Here is a 17,098-nt window from a genome sequence, read left to right on the forward strand (position 1 = left end):
AACCAGCTCAGCTTGGCGCTGCTCGCCTGGAGGCATCAGATCCTTGGACCCTCCCCATCTGATTGGCTGCTACCCGGTCTAGCCGAACTCCTCTGCCTTAACCTTCTGCTGCGTTCAATACATTTTCCCTCGGGATACAGTCAGAGAAGAGCTGGTTAGGGAATCAGTGGCAGGTTAAATTGAGCTGGCTTTAAAAATCAGTGACATGATTTTCTATGAAGATGTCTAATGTTTAATTTTCCAAAGTTCTACGTAATCCACAAGGAGAGACGTAATAAAATGGATATGATTTAACAGGAGCGGCTTCATGATTCCTCCCTGAAAATACCTGGAGTTTAATGCATGCCTAACACCCTACTGAAGTGATCAGGTGGCTTTTTGCAGCACTGCGTGTCTGTATAATCAACCTTAAATCAAAACAGATGGGGATGACAGAATATATTAAGAGGCTTATTAAAAGTGCCAGGAGATGCAGTTGAATAAGGCTGCTGAAGCCATCTCAAGAAAGTGTTATAAATCATTTACACAAAATGCTCTTAAGACAGTTATGGTTGATTTTAGATAGCTCTGATAATAAAAACATAAAGACCAATGACAGACAAAAAGGTAAAGCCTGACTTAGCATCTCTAGAAGACAAGTAACAGAAAGAAAAATCAAATCTTTTACTCTACAAAAGTAGTGAAATGAGAAAAGAACAAAAGTACACCTTCATCATCTCCTGTCCATGTACTGGATTCAATTTGGTCAAGGACCTAGAACAGGGTATTGAAAAGTCCCCAATGGGGTTTTGGTTTGTTTTGTTCTTTCTGTTTTTTTTTGTTTTTTGTTTTTTGTTGTTGTTTCTTTGTTTTGAGACCGAGTTTTGCTCTGTTGCCCAGGCTGGAGTGCAGTGGCGTGATCTCCACGCACTACCCCCTCCACCTCCCAGGTTCAAGCAGTTCTCCTGCCTCAGCCTCCCGAGCAGCTGGGATCACAGGCACCTGCCACCACACCCAGCTAATTTTTGTATTTTTAGTAGAGATGGGGTTTCACTATGTTGGCCAGGCTGGTCTCGAACTCCTGACCTCAGGTGATCCGCCTGCCTCAACCTCCCAAAATGCTGGGATTACAGGCGTGAGCCACCACACCCAGACAGTTTTGTTTTGTTTTGTTTTGTTTTTAAAAATGAGAGGCATCAAATGGAAGATAGTGAATTGACCACATACATTTAACCCTTTCTCCCTCACAAAGCCCCACTAAAATGACAATAAAGCTTTTATTTTAAGAACCATAAACCCACAAGGACAAAGAAATAGGAGAAAACAGCAACCCAATTTAGAAAAAGAAAGCAGATGGGTGAGTGGTAGCTGGACAGAGAGAGCTGGATCCCAAATGAGCAATGAGGAGAGTCAAGAAGCAGCAGCATTTCCAAGCCAGCAGCCCCAATATGCTCTGGAATTGGCAGAGATGAAATTGGGGCTAAAAACAGCAGGTGGCCTGACTGCCCATCATTCACCCTGCAGAACACAGAAGGCTTATTCTCTGGAGAGACTAACAGAGGGCTTCTGGACTGGCATGGCTGGGAATAAAGGTACCAAACTAAAAATATTGCTGTTAATCAGAAACAGATATAAAAACCCTGGGCCTTCTTTCCCCACTCAACTCCTGGGAGCCAGGTAGCAAGGTGAATAGGCTCCAGAAAAAAAGATGTGAAGAGCGCTCTTCAGGGATCCCACCATCCCAAAATATAAGACGTAAAGGCATCACTACAGGGTACTCTCTAAGATATGGCTGGGCTAGATCTCCCAGAAGTTCAGGCCACATTAATAAGCTCTACACATGAATTTTGGTGCCCCTCTCTTACATGTAAGCAGATCAGACAAATCTCTAACATCAAAGCATAGAACAAAACAAACAAAAAAGAAACAGGCAAATAACAGACAGACAAGCAAACATGGCAAAAAGTAAACTGATGGAAACAATGGGTGTGCAGGGAGAAGAACAGTTTAAACACTATCATTAATGGCCTTGTCAAAATAAGAGATGTATGGCAGTTCTCACTCTGCATGGTTCCAGTATTCACAAATATCACCTACACAGTGTAGTTGATAGCACCAGTCTTCCAGCAATACAGTTCAAATTTCAGTTACCATGGCGTGTTAACCATGAGTGATTATGCAGTATGCAAACTCTTTTAGCTCTTCCACCCACAGTCACTAAGTAATAATAGATGCACAACATGATCACTGGCCAATCACAGCACTTCTTCAAAACCTGTCAGTGATTGGTTGCGGCATGCCTGTTAGTCAGCTCATGTATATTGTTGTTGTTGAGTTGTTGCACCAAGTGTGTTATGGAGTTGCCTCCTTGTCTCCCAGTGGTGCACCCATGCAACATTTCACAAGAATGGATAACGAAAAGAGGGAATTCACCAACAAAGATGAAAGTGCTGCAAAGAAATAAACAATTTCATGGGAAGTGAAATTGGATATGATTAGAAGATTTTAAAATGGGAATAGCAAAGTTTAAGATTTGAAGAGACCTAGCTTTGAATAAATCATACTGCAGAAGCCTAATCAATACTTTTTTAAAAGGTAAGTTTCTTTAACATCTTTTTAAATTGCACAAAGGAAAGAAAGCACTCTGGTTGGATTGAAGATTGTAATTTTTGAAAAGTTATTTAGCTAATATTCAGGTCAAAGTGTTGATGTTCCTTCCCACCTGAAAAGAAAATGGTAATTACAAAAGAAAGGAAGAAGACACTTTTTACTGCCAGAAAAATCTGTTTTCAAAAGTTGGCAGAAACTGATTAATGTTAAGCCATCTTGTGAAGCTTCCAGAGCAAACGGTGTCCTGCTATGAAATGTTCACCTAGATTCCAAGGACTGGTTAAACAAGGGGACATGATCGTTGTCAAATATTCTATGTGAATAAAAGTGTTTGTGATGAAAAAGATGAAAATGTCCCAGAGGAAGTGATCCTGGCAAAATAATTTACGCTAAAGAATTCTTGGGGCCAGGCACGGTGGCTCACACCTGTAATCCCATCACTTTGGGATGCCAAGGCAGGTGGATTTCTTGAGGTCAGGAGTTTGAGACCAGCCTGGCCAACATAGTGAAACCCTGTCTCTACTAAAAATACAAAAGAGCTGGACATGGTGGCACACACCTGTAATCCCAGCTACTAAGGAGGCTGACACAGGAGAATCGCTTGAACCGAGGAGGTGGAGGTTGCAGTGAGCTGAGATGGCACCATTGCACTCCAGCCTGGGTGACAGAGTGAGACTGTATCTCAAAATAAAACAAAACAGAACAAAACATCTCTTGGAGACATTTCATGACATTGAAAGCACAAAGGAGAAATGATGGTGGGAAGCTGCTCCAAACTTAGAAGGGAGGATGACAATTCCCCAAGACGTGGGAAAGGTGCTACTTTAGTGTTTTAATTCACATCATGAGAAGGGGACAAGCTCTGTTCCAAGAAAGAAATAACTAATTTTCCCTGTTTTCAATGCTTTAAATTACGGCATACTCAGTAAATATTAGTTTTGTTATTTTTATTGCCCTATGCATTTATAACTGATAGCAAGAGCATTTTTAAAGTCATAGGAAAATTATTAAAGGCCACAGAACAATTGTCATTTTCATCATTGATTATTAAGATTGCTTTTCATGGTTTCAGCTACAATCCTGTACTACCACACAAACTGAAGACTGACTATATTTTTCTATGAAATAAGCAAAAGCAACTGTATGAAAGAAAACTATGGAACACAAAAAGCTCTTGGAAAATTCAGAAGAAGAATTGGAAGACAAAGTTGAGGAAATATCCTTGAAAGTTGAGTAAAAGGGCAAAAAATGGAAAACTGTAAGAAAAACGGTAAGAAAATTGGAGATATAGTCTAGGAATTCAACATCTGGATAACAGGAATTCTAGCAAGAAACAGTTAAGAAAACAAAAGGAAGAAAACCATAAAAAATAATTTTTAAAAAGTTCTCATGAGTTTCCAGAATAGAAGTATGACGTTAAGACACACAATTGGCTCATGGTCGTGGAATTTCAGCAAATTAAAAATAAAGCACTTTCTTGGTTTGGTGAGATAGCTCATTCTTATAATTTCAGCATTTTGGGAGGTTAAGGTGGGAGAATTACTTGAGGCCAGGAGTTTGAGACCAGCCTGGGCAGCATAGCAAGATCCTCATCACTACAAAAAAATGAAAATTAAAAAATTAGCCAGGCATGGTGGGGCATGCTTGTAGTCCCTGCTACTTGGGAGGCTGAGCCTAGAAGTTTGAGGCTGCAGTTGGCCTTAAATGAATCAAGACCCTGCCTCTTGAAAAAAAAAAAAAGTTCTTTAAACTTCTGGAAAGAAAACTATGAATTTCATATAAAGGATCAAGAATTTGGATGGTATGTTTCTCAATAACAATACTAGAAGCTGGAAGGTAGTGGAAAAATGTCTTTGAAGTTCTGAGAGAAAAGGATTTCCAATTTGGAATTCCATACCTAGCCAAAATATCTCTAAGAGTCGAGATAGATAAGACATGTTTTTCTTGGATTTGAAAGGTCCTTAAAATTTCCGTCTCAAGAACCTTTTCTCAGGAGTCTATTGCAAAATGTGTCCACCAAAACAAGGGAATAAAACAAAAAAGACAAGGCTTGGCATCCAGAAAACTGGGATCCTACAAAATGAAAAGTTCAAGGCTCTGCCACCCTGCAGAATGGTCTTGGAGACATTTCAGAATAAAGACAACGAGCAGATCTAGGGAGCTGTCAGTCCAGATTGCATCAGGTCAAAAGGAGGAACAATTTCAGGAAGACAAAATTGATAGCATGTATAATATATTTGAGATTTTTGAGAAAAGGCTTATACAATTGGGAGAGGGCTCTAGGCTGTACTAATTGTAAGTATATAAACAACTGAGTAACAAAAAAGACAATTTTGTTGAATAGGAAAACAAAGTAATTGTAGTAAACATGATTCAGGCTTGAGTAGTTTTTACTTAGCCACAGTTATAAAAGTACTGAGTATTGATACAAGCAAAAGTATAGTATTTCAAGGCTAGCTGACTGCAAGTGTAGGTGCATGGTGGGTATAGGCCGTATGATTGAAAGAGAAATAAATCCTCACCTTCCAAAGGGAGAAGTCAATATTTACTGCCTAAAACTGAAATATCAAGAAGTGGAAATACGAACACTTAGAGGTGAGGAAGTAAATACTAGAAGAGCTAATTTTAATATGATTGCCTCCAGCAAACAGGAAATGGCAGAAATTCCTGTTTTTGTAATTGCTGAATACAACTTTACATGTACATCCGTTAACTGTAATGAGAATAAAAATTATAACAAAATATTAAAACTTGAGGTAGAGTTGTAAGTCTTTATGCGCTAACGATTAAGTAGAGAAAATGCAAGATGTATAACAGTGTGAAAAAAGGGAGCCATTTATGTTAAAAAAAGAAATATTTATACCTTTTAGAAAGATGTACAAGAAAATAATCTACTGATGATGGTTGCCTCTGGGCAGCAAAATTGGAGGGTTTAAGATATGGAGATGAAACTTATTTTTTCCTATATAATTTTCTATACTGTTACAATCTTTACTTATAAACATTTTTCAATAAAATTAACAAATTTTAAATGACAAAATTTCTAATCCAAGAGAAAAAAGTCTACTTTTGTCATTTAAGTGGTGATCTTCTACAGTAAATAATCTTATGAATTTGGTCTTCATATTGAATTTGTTTTCTGGTTAAAAATATTAAGACTTTGGAAGCAATGAAAATTAGAGTAGTATGTCATTGTAAAGAAGCACATATAATGTTACATGCATAATGTCACAAACATAATGTATTTCAATAACATATTTAAATTGTCTATTAGAATTTCTTGCATGGTCATGGCTGAGAATTTCCTTTGTAAAACATTCCTTGAAAAGTCTCCTTAGCACTTAATATGGGAGGAACTTTTTGGGTAAGGGAGGTAATTTTGGGTCTGTGGAGGCAGAGGAAAAGATACGGAATTCAGAGAAAGCTGGTAGTAAGATGGCAAAGGGCCTCTCACCAAATCATCAATAAAGACACAAAATTTATGGAATATTTGCTGGGAACACAATTTTTAGAGAGGGATGAAGAGGTTAGCCTTCTTGTCAATGTTATGGAAAGAATAGCATCAGATCATGTTGGAATAGAATCTTGGAGGCAGAGAAAGGAAGCTCCAGGAACATAGAAAAAATATGTGGAATGCTTTGGTTGGTTGCAAGTAGAACTATAGTTACAACCAAGGGCTGCCCAGGTTACTTCTAAATTGTACATAGAAACTATAGACATCCCGAAGCTTTAATTCTAATGTTGTTCTACCATTTGCCAAATGAATAACCCTGGAGTAAGTAATATAAACATTTAGAATCTCAACCTTCTCAACTCAGCTACCACACTACCAACACTATTTTAATCAAATATTTGTAAACCTTTAACATTTTTAGTGTGAAGCAAATCTATGATATAGCAGTGCTCTTTACAAAATGCTTTATAATTTTCTCATTTCTCAAACTGTAGTTCTTCCACCTATTTCTTTTTTATATCTTAGGTAAGTGTAATAGTTTATTCTGTGTTTGTGGTAGGATACTTTGCAAATTATAGAAGGCAATAAAAATTCCTAGTGTCTGAGCATTTTATTATTTAGTTCCAGCTTAGTTTACAAGATCATCTCTGGCTTCAATGGTAAAAATTTGAATTTCCTCTGGAATCCTCTACTGAGTATAGTTAAGTTCACTGGCATTCTCCTTCTGGCTCACCAATTTCAGTCACTTTCTTGTTAGAGGCACTTCAGAGAAAATAAAGGATCTTAAAATCAATACTAGAACATTCAAGAGGCACTATTTGAAATTCTGAAGTGATAAAAAAAATAAAATAAAATGACATTCAAGAGCAATATACAAATATGGTCAGCATATTTTTCTCCAAAATAATTATAATTATTTAAAAATAAATTTAAAACTCAATCATAAATATAAAAGAACCAGTAAAGTAAAACATCCTTAACACTTTACCACCAAAATCATTTTATAGAATTTAAAAACAATGATAAATTTTACTTCTTAGTGACTTTTCAATAACCAAAGTCAAAGTTAATCAAAAATGTTCAAACACACATTTGGTGCCTGTTGAGGAATTTTGAGAAAATAACAATAGTTGATTCAACTGTACAGATCCACAGGATTTGGCAGTCACAGAAAATACCTTGTAAATTGAACTTTTTGTTTAAGAAATAAAATAAGCATTCTTTAGCATGTAGAGTATCTTGAACTTCAGAACACAATCTACAAGGCTAACTTATTATAAAACAATCATTTTCACAGCTAATATTTGTATTTCTATTTGATCATTTAATTGTTCATTTGTTTATTCATCAAACATTGAATACTTCACATTGGTACCCAAATTTGTGGATTTTGAGGTATAGAAAGGGAAATCAGAAGGAACAACTAGTAGGAAGAAGATACTGACCCATCCTGTGATCCTGTAGTACCATCCATTCTGTCCCTCCCAGATGCTCCACTGTATAGAACACACCCATATTGGAGGGCTGTCTCTTTAAAATTACCTCTTCTTATGTCTATGTGATACATATGAGCAGATACTTCTTATAAATCTAATCCGCTTTAATTGGGTTTGCCAGGAGTGATTACAGACTTTTTCTTACATCTTTGCTTTCAGAAAGTAATTGGATAACTTCTTATGCTATATGGAAATGCAGTAGCTAACAAAATGGCAGACTTCCTATTTAATTAAATTTGTACATCTCCAACACAAACTTGACTATACAGATTTACAGTAATGAAATCTCTAAAGTTTTTAAATATAAGTTTTAACTGCCAATTCCAATTCCAAAAACAGGGATATAAAAGACAGTTTTGAGAATTAACCAATGCGATAAAAAGGGAGCCCCTTTCCTTAGCACAATTTCTCACTGTCTACTGTAGTTTCATTCTTTTGAGTCTGTCATTGCCTTTGTCTTTTCACTTCAAAGCCATATTCAGCTTCAGATCTCAAACACAATGCAGTGGGCTGGTGTCTGCTTACTAGAGCTGAAATGCCTTGTTTTGGAAGTGCCTTAACAGCTAAACTTATTGGTCTAGATTTACCACCTTGACCTACTTCATTCATTTATTTTCATGAAAATGGAGACTTCTGATGCTTATTCACATGAAAGCATCCATTAGACCAGAGTTCAGATAAAAATAAGGACGTTTCTGATAAATTGCTTCATTCACATTAGCTCTTCTGGGCAATAGGTAGGAGGAAATAAAACACTTATATCTCTACAAGTAATTCATGAGGAGCACAGATGTTTTTACACTAAACCATGTTATAAAATGTGATAAAAGTCTCTGATAAAAATAAATTATCCTCAACCCAACTTCTGGAGGGGCCACAGGACAACTTTCTCTTTGCCCTCTGAAGGGTCACTGAAAATGAACAGACAAAAAGAAGATTAAGCCGGACGCAGTGGCTCACCTCTGTAATCCCAGCACTTTGGGAGGCCGAGGCGGGTGGATCACATCAGATCAAGAGTTCAAGACCAGCCTGGACAACATGGTGAAACCCCATCTCTACTAAAAATATAAAAATTAGCTGGGCGTGGTGGCACACGCCTGTAATCCCAGCTACTCAGGAGGCTGAGGCAGGAGAATCGCTTGAACCTGGGAGGCTGAGGTTTCAGTGAGCCGAGATTGTGCCATTGCACTCCAGCCTGGGCGACAGAGCAAGACTCAGTCTCAAAACAAAATAAAAGGCAAATTAATAGGAGAAAAGGCACACACACATTTCTATTTTAACTTGTATAGCACTGGGGAATTGCAGAATGATTACCCAGTGGGGTACAGACGCTTAGACACCCCTCTTCATACAACAAATGTGGCGATTTGTGGAACAGTGAATGATTTTTAGGGGAAAATGAATGGACTTGGAGAACATACGATGGCCTGGGACAAAACGTGTTGTGACTGGAGATCAGGCAATTGTTTGTGACAAAAGTGTACCCAGGGGTGTTGATGGACTTCGGTCTTTCTTCCTGTGATATGAGTGCAGTTAATGAAACTCAGGGAAGGCAGTTGTGTTCTTTTGGCCAGTCTGGTTTCTAGGAAGATAAAGGATCCTCAGAGAACAACTTCATTCTGTTCCTTGGGAGAGACAAAACATTGAGAAATGGGGGTGAGGGGTAGGTCAGAGAGACCTTGGGATCGCTTCTTCAATCCAGCATGTCAAAGGGCCATATGTTGGAGTTCAGGTTTCTGAGACACAACACTTCCTGTTGTAGCAGCAGAAAAGGAGTGATCCGTTTCCTCCCTGTCATAGGGGTCAAAACGGACACCTCTGAAACAAAGACAGATTAACAAGAGAAAAGCCCAACAAATATATTCGACCACAGCTTTACAATACACAGGAGCCTTCGGAATGAAGACCCAAAGGTACCGGGGAAACTCTCTGATTGTGTGCCCAGGTTTCAGGGAGCAGGGACAGTCATGCAGAAATGTGACCGGACAGAAGGAAATGATGTAATGGTAACAGGCTAACTAGGGACACTCGGTGAGGCCTGTCTGTTCAGATCTTGCTCAGCCTCTCTGTGTAGCTTTCCTTCCTCGCAGGTATCCGGCAGGACCCTTTCTGTAATGGGGGGCCTATTACCTACCATTAAATAAGATAGGTCAGAAAATTTTTTCTGGCCAATTCTTACACAGAAAAACAGCCAAAAGTGAAAGTGCCTTTAGGCTACACGTTGGCTTTGGGGAAAAGGAACTCTGGTTTCTGTGACACTCGTTGGGGCAGAGAGATTCTAGTTCCTGCGACTGGCCTCAGGGGAGAATGGGGCTGAGAGACAGGAGGGTGAGAGAAGGTCACAGGGAAACTTCGCTTCTGAGGCTGCTTCTGCCGTCTTCACTTTGAAGCATCATTTTTCTGAGCCTCAACATTCTTCAGTCTGAAACTTCCCCCCAGTAGTTTTTTTGTTTGTTTGTTCATTTGTTTTGAGACAGAGTCTCACTCTGTCGCCAGGCTGGAGTGCAGTGGGGCGATCTCGGCTCACTGCAACCTCTGCCTCCCTGGTTCAAGCGATTCTCCTGCCTCAGCCTCCCGAGTAGCTGGGATGACAGGCACCCACCACCACACTGGGCTTATTTTTGTATTTTTAGTAGAGACGGGGTTTCACCATGTTGGCCAGGCTGGTCTTGAACTCCTAACCTCAGGTGATTCACCCACCTCGGCCTCCCAAAGTGCTGGGATTACAGGTTTGAGCCACCACGCCCGGCCCCCATAGGTAGTTTGACAGTCCACGGATCGGGTTGGTGGATTGTCTCCCAGGCTGTTCCCAGGCTCTCAGTCCTGAGAAGAGGCCTTTCAGCTAATCAGTTGACAGTTGTGTCTCATTTCAGCAGCAGTGTTGCAGACTGGCTTCCACCGAAGTCAGGCCCCAAATAGTGTGAACAGTCATGTACGTAGCAAAGGGCATTTCTAGGGAAAGAAAAGAAAACAAACCTTTGGGTCTAGAGGGCAGCCAGTCAAGATTTTCAGATGTTAGACTTGAAGCATCTTCATATGGAGTGAGAGCAGACAGTGGCAATCTGGGATTTTTCCGGTTCGCAGTTTGCATCCGGTGAGCTTTCTAAGTGGCCCATATAGTAATAGGCAGAAAGTTTATTTCTACATAAAACTGCTGTGGTGATTTCTCCAAAGGCTATATCAGACCATCCAGTTTTAGTCTGCAGGGTTTCAGGAAAGTGCAGTTTTCATTTCAGTGATTCCAAGCTGGAAGGGTGGAGAAAAATTACAAATACTACTTTGGTGAGTCATAGTCAAATATTGCAGGAAACTAAAATAATTCAAGATCTGGTCCAGATTGTAGGTAGATAGTAAACCCTCAAAAACAATGAGGTAGAGTCTAATAACAGGTGCACTAGAGTTGTCTTCTGAAATATAATTTTTATTTCTCTAGTCCACCTATCAAAAAACATAAAAAATATGTTTCAAACAAAAAGTCATTAAAACAAGACTAATTTGTTCATAAGAAAAGTTTAGTCTTTAGTCTTTATGATTTTTTACATAAGTATAGCAAGAATAGTGATCAACCATATAGGCACTTTTTAAATTGGCTTTGTGGGGAACTTTTTCATAAGGAACCTCAGACTGGACTTTCTAAAAGCCTCTCAGGTCTCAGGAGCCAAGCCAAGGACGCACCTCAGGACTGTACTTACACAAACAACTGTTTTGCCTTAAAACTAGAATACTCGCAGTTGCCAAATTTTGGAGGGATCAGGTAGGGACAAAGGTAAATGTTTCAATTTTGCTCATAAAAATATACGTTAGCAAATTGCTGCAAGCTATAGATAGCATAGAAGAGTTTCCTTAACAATGCAGATAAAAACATAAAAAATATGTTTCAAACAAAAAGTCACTAAAAAGTCATAATCCTTTGTGAGTTCAGTCCCATGTAATTAATTCTTGTTCTGCCAATGTAAGTTAGGATTTTCTTGAGTCCAGTTTTTCCATTCGAGTTATGGAAACTCAGTCCAATGGTATGAACTCAGAGTTAGAATTATTTTTGTTCTTTCCATATATTTCCTTGAAGACACAACATTTTAGGACTCTAATCACTTGCAAAGAGCTTTCAGAAAAAAACATCAAAATAAAGCAATTAACTGTGGACAGTAAGATGTAAAATGGCTATGGTTAAAGATATGATAGGAATTCACAATAATAATGATGCAACTGTCAAGAAAATTTGGTCCTCTCTGTGGCACACAACATTTTAACATTAGCGTTATGACTGATAACATATACTAAAACATAATTTCTAGGATTTCTAGGAATCTCTTACAATTTTGGAACACATATGTCAATAACATATTCACACAAATATAACCTCAAAGAAGGTTAAACATCATTTCTTATTTGACAATGTTTGTCATATAATTTAACATATCAAGTAAGTCTAATTTAATGTCTTTCTTGGATTTCCAGGGGCCCTCCTATAATGTCTAAAAGTTACTTTGAGGTCAAAAAGACTTAATTTTGATTTGGGGAAAGTTGCCAAAATAAAGGTTGCCATCACAGATCATTATGAGAAAAATAACCACTTATTTAAACAAAAGATCTAATAAACACAGTGTGATGCACATGGAATATTTTTTCTTTCTCTTCTTTTTTCTTTTGTAGTTTATTCAAAAGGGAAACAAAAATCCTTTATTATCTCTTCTCTTATAATACATTTATTTATTCTTAGTTTAACCACATAAGCTCCTCTGTTATATTTTCAACTATTTTATCTAATTAATATAATATACAACATTAAAAAACTATTCTGAAATGATCTTTAAACGTACTCTAAACTAGATAAAATTACTTTTCTAAACAAAACACATATTTTTCATTTTTTGTAACTTTTTTCATCAGAAATACCTCTTGTTTTGCTTGTATATTTTGCGTATAAAATTGGTCTTCTTATTTTTGGTAGTTTTCATTAAATGTATTAATTGTAATTTTAACTCTTAGTAGCCTTAATTTTTACTGAAAACCTAGAAGTAAGCAATTTTGACTGTTTGCACTAGTAATTTATAAATACACATTTTAAAATTATTAGAAACATTAGTTTTTTAGAATCTTCGTATGTTTATTAACAAATCCAAATACATTTTGCTTTTTAAAATAACCTATAAAAACAAAATGCCAAAGTATATAAACTGGAACTTATGCTTATTAATTAATCTTTCAGTACCTTAACTTATTTAGAAATGACTCAGACGTTTCATGATGATCTATTATTTAACTTAATATAACACAACTTTCAGATTTTAAATTATTTTTAAAAATCTTTGAACCTAGGACAAGTTTATTTAGAAATGTTTATTCCATTTACCTAATTTACTCATTCTTAACAATTATATTTGAATTGCTCACGGAAAACAAAGCTAACCATAGAAGTTATTTTTGAAAAAGCAAGACCAAGCTAGCCCTGCAACAGCCAGCTTTGTTTCCATCGAGGCCTCTGTGACACTGGCCACAGGATGGGCCTATACTCGGCTAGACCCTGCCCTGCAGCTGCCAGCCCAGGTGCTGGGATACACATGCACGCTCAGGCTTTACCATGGCCACCAGTCCAGATCCCAGAATTCAGAAGCTCAAAACTGAAGACATAAGCTTGCAGCAGCATGTGTATAAGGTTTCAGGGGAGCCAGCACCCAGCCCACACAGTTCAGTCCACAGACAAACCAAGCAAATATCAAAAATAGTACGGAAGCGGAGAATAAAAGTTAAAAGTTAAACATGGTTCCCCCCACCCTCCTTTAAATACCTAGGTGATAACAGTCTTGTTTGACTAGTAGCTCTAGGTATTAAAAATATATATATATGTTTGTACTGAAGCAGGATATTTCCCTGACCCCTTCACAGGCCCCACAAAGGGGATGCCCTGTTTACTCAGCCCACAGCTCTCAGCTGCTCACAGGAGGGATTGCACAAGTGAATGTGGTGGGAACTGGAGTACAGAAGCACTGGAGTCACCCAGCTGCTCCAGCACCTGCAGGAGTGAACTCCATTCACTTGGACCCACTGCATTTCCACCCTTGCAGGAGGGGGTGCACAGGTGAATGGGTGCAGGAGCTGGCGTGAGTGCTTTTGGGTGCCAGCAGGAGCCAACTCTGTGCTGGCCCCACGGCAGTGTCTAGGGAGGTGCCCGCAACCCCTGAAGCCCCAGAGGGAGTGTTACAGTGCTCCTTTAGTTCTGCTGTCCGTGGATGGCTTAAGTGTTAACAGCTCAGTGGACCCCATGCCTTTTCGCATGAGGTGGCTGCCTTCCACCAGTGAGGGTGAAGGGCCAGTGTGACAGCCTTTCGCATCTGCACTTGTAGTTCCCGAGTTCTTGTCTGGTGTCCAGGACATGAGGTTGCAGGAACAAATTGAAGGATGGTAAATGTGGGGGATTTTACTGCTGATAGAGGTGGCTCTCAGTGGGAAGGGGAGCTGAAAAGGGGACGGGGTGGGAAGGTAATCTTCCCTCAAAGTTCAACTGTCTCTGGCCAGATTCTTCTCTGAACTTACACCATCAAGCTGTTCCTCTGAAGTCAAGCCACTTCTCTCCAATGTCCAACTGTAGTCTCCAACGTCTAGCTGCTTCTTCTCTCTGCCGGCTGAGTTCTGGGGTTTTTATGGGCACACGACACGGGGTGGGGCGAGCCATGGGTGGTTTTGGAAAAGGAACATTTGAGCAGGAAAACAGGGATGGAAGTTCTCACTTTGGGCTGTGGTTCTAGGCTTTTTGGTTTGAGGGTGGGGCCCTCACCAGGACCTGCCCTCTTCTGCCTAGAATTTCCCTGCCTTCTGTCCCTATCAGTACTATAACCAATGCTGATAATTCTGAAGATATTCCTGTTTTTATTTTACCAACAAGTTTAAAACTAACTTTATTTACCAATAACGATTTTTATTAACTGTATAGAAACTCAGATCACATGAACTATCTAGCACTTGATACTATTATATGAAGTATTTGAGTTAGTTTTAATTTTATCTTTGAAAAAGAGCTTTAGGGGCCAGGTGCAGTGGCTCACACCTGTAATCCTAGCACTTTGGGAGACTGAGATGGGTGAATCATTTGAGGTCAGGAGTTTGAGACCAGCCTGGCCAACATGATGAAAACCCATCTCTCCTAAAAATACAAAAATTAGCTGGGTATGGTGGTGTGGGCCTGTAATCCCAGCTACTCAGGAGGCTGAGGCAGGAGAATCTCTTGAACCCAGGAGATGGAGGTTGCAGTGAGCTGAGATCTCACCACTGCACTCCAGCCCAGGCAACAGAGTGAGACTCTGTTTCAAAAACAAAGCAAAACAAAAAAGCTTTAGGGGCATCATGCCTATTATCATAGATCAATTTTATGGAGGCTACAGACTGGGTTTTAGGTGTGAATGTTTTTAAAGCTCATCTGAGTGGACTAAATATCCATTTTTGCTACAACTGGGTTTGTTGCATTTTTCTCTAATTTGGTCTTGAAGTTTCTCTCTGAAAAGTAGCTGTAATCCCTACCCCTGGCCAGACAGGTTTATCAAGGTAGCCACTCTCTAGGAGATCCCTGATGAGGAGAAGAATTAGGTTCAGGTGCTTCAGTTAGAAGAGCCATGGAGAAGGATTCAAAAACAGATATCCAGGCTGCATAAAATTACAGGAATTCACTACAGTATTTTACAAGGAAATACCCAGATGAGCTTAGGAAGAAGTTCAGAAATCTGTTCAAAATAATCAGTTGAATGCCTGAAACTCGTACTTTGGAAAACAATCTAGTTAAATAGGTAGCTTTTCAACATATCTTCTTTTTTTTAACTGGATGACCCAGCTCTGGGTGGAGAGCCCATTGAGGAATAGGGCCAACAAAGTACTTGCAGCTTCTGGGGTTTAAAATTTATGCATGTAAAAGCAGGTGTAGCTGGAAGGCGGAGTACTCAGATCTTTAGAAATTAAGGATTCCTTTTTTACACTGAATCATGTGTCTTCCAGACCCAAGAAAAAGTCCGAGAGGGCAACGCCATGGGGCTGAGCTGCTCAATGCCCTCCCAGTGCATCCTGCTGCAAGGATGCCCCCCAGGATGCTGCCTCACCTAACCAGCCGCTCCAGGAGTGGCCCCCAGCCCCCACCCCATGGAGCTTCGACTTCCTGGTGACCAGTGCTCCAGTAACCTCTAAGTGCTTGAACCACGCCTGTCAGCCAGTTATGGCTTTGGCTCTGAGAGCCCCCCTGACCAACTTAACCAATGCTTTTTTTCTGTAAGAAATTGCCACTTACTGTTGGTTTCTGTCCGACCCGGTGAGATACTTGAGGCTTCCCCTACCTGTGCACACAACGAAATGAAGACAATAAAAAGCCAGAGTTTGCTCTTTCTAGTAATAACCACTTATTGCAACTGCTATTTCCTTAAAAATGTCATCTCTTGCCAGTGTTCGTTACTTTGCACTCAAAGGCCAAGTATCCTCTCACGGTGACCCTTGGTGTGCCTAAAAGCCAAAGAGAGCTAGGCGCGGTGGCTCACACCTGTAATCCTAGCACTTTGGGAGGCCGAGGCAGACGGATCACTTGAGGTCAGGGGTTCGAGACCAGTCTGGCCAACATGGTGAAACCCCATCTCTACTAAAAATACAAAAATCAGTTGGGTGTGGTGGCACGCACCTGTAATCCCAGCTACTCGGGAGGCTGAGGCAGGAGAATTGCATGAACCCAGGAGGCGGAGGTTGTAATGGGCTGAGATCATGTCACTGCACTCCAGCCTGGGTGACAGAGCAAGACTCCGTCTCAAAAAATAAAAATAAAATAAAAAATGAAAGCCAAAGAGATCAGGGAGCTTAATTGGAAAGAGAGTAGAGCTTCAGCCCTGAGAGAAACCCACCCATGACTCCTGGGGCTCCATCAGGAAGAGGGGGATCCCCATTGTTCCTTCAAGGGTCTCAGGGTTGTTGCACGTCTCCTTTATATCCCTGTATGCAGTACCCAAAACTGTTTCCCTTAGTAATTTTTTATCCATTGACCACCAAATGGAGGAGGTAAGATTACTGGGAACTAGCTGGAAGAGCAAATGTGGCGAAAGGAGCAGACGCAAATGGAAAGATCAGGTCTTAGAGGAGCCGACTTAGGGAGATTTTAAGTCTTCTAAAGAGGAGCTTATCATTAGCAGAGGCTTGAGAAAAATAGGGGCTTTCAGCTACTGAAAAAATTCTCATAAGAGAAACAGAATTCAAAAGAGAAAAAGCAGAAAAGCTTTAAAAAAAATTATAGCCTGAATATAGGCTTTTAATTCAGCCAACTCTTGGCCGGGTGCAGTTGCTCATGCCTGTAATCCCAGCACTTTGGGATGCCAAGGCAGGAGGATTGCTTGAACCCAGGAGTTTGAGACCAATCTGGGCAACAAAGCAAAACCCTGTCTCAAAAAATAATAATAATAAATACATTTAGCCATTTTGATCATAGAGCTGTTTAATTTTTTTTTTTTTTTTTTTTTTTTTTTGAGACGGAGTCTCGCTGTCGCCCAGGCTGGAGTGCAGTGGCGCCATCTCGGCTCACTGCAAGCTCGGCCTCCCGGGT

The 17,098-nt window shown here is 39.7% G+C and overlaps 1 long non-coding RNA gene across 1 annotated transcript; it reads left to right on the forward strand.

Moving 5' to 3' along the window:
• On the forward strand, nt 8,877–15,902 carry LOC124900828 (uncharacterized). The gene is made up of 2 exons (XR_007058417.1): nt 8,877–9,452; nt 15,523–15,902. It is a non-coding gene; the product is annotated as an uncharacterized LOC124900828 (long non-coding RNA).
• The last annotated feature ends 1,196 nt before the right edge of the window (nt 15,903–17,098 follow it).

The sequence above is a fragment of the Homo sapiens genome, chromosome 4 (assembly GCF_000001405.40).
Source record: "Homo sapiens chromosome 4, GRCh38.p14 Primary Assembly".
Classification (NCBI taxonomy): Eukaryota; Metazoa; Chordata; class Mammalia; order Primates; family Hominidae; genus Homo; species Homo sapiens.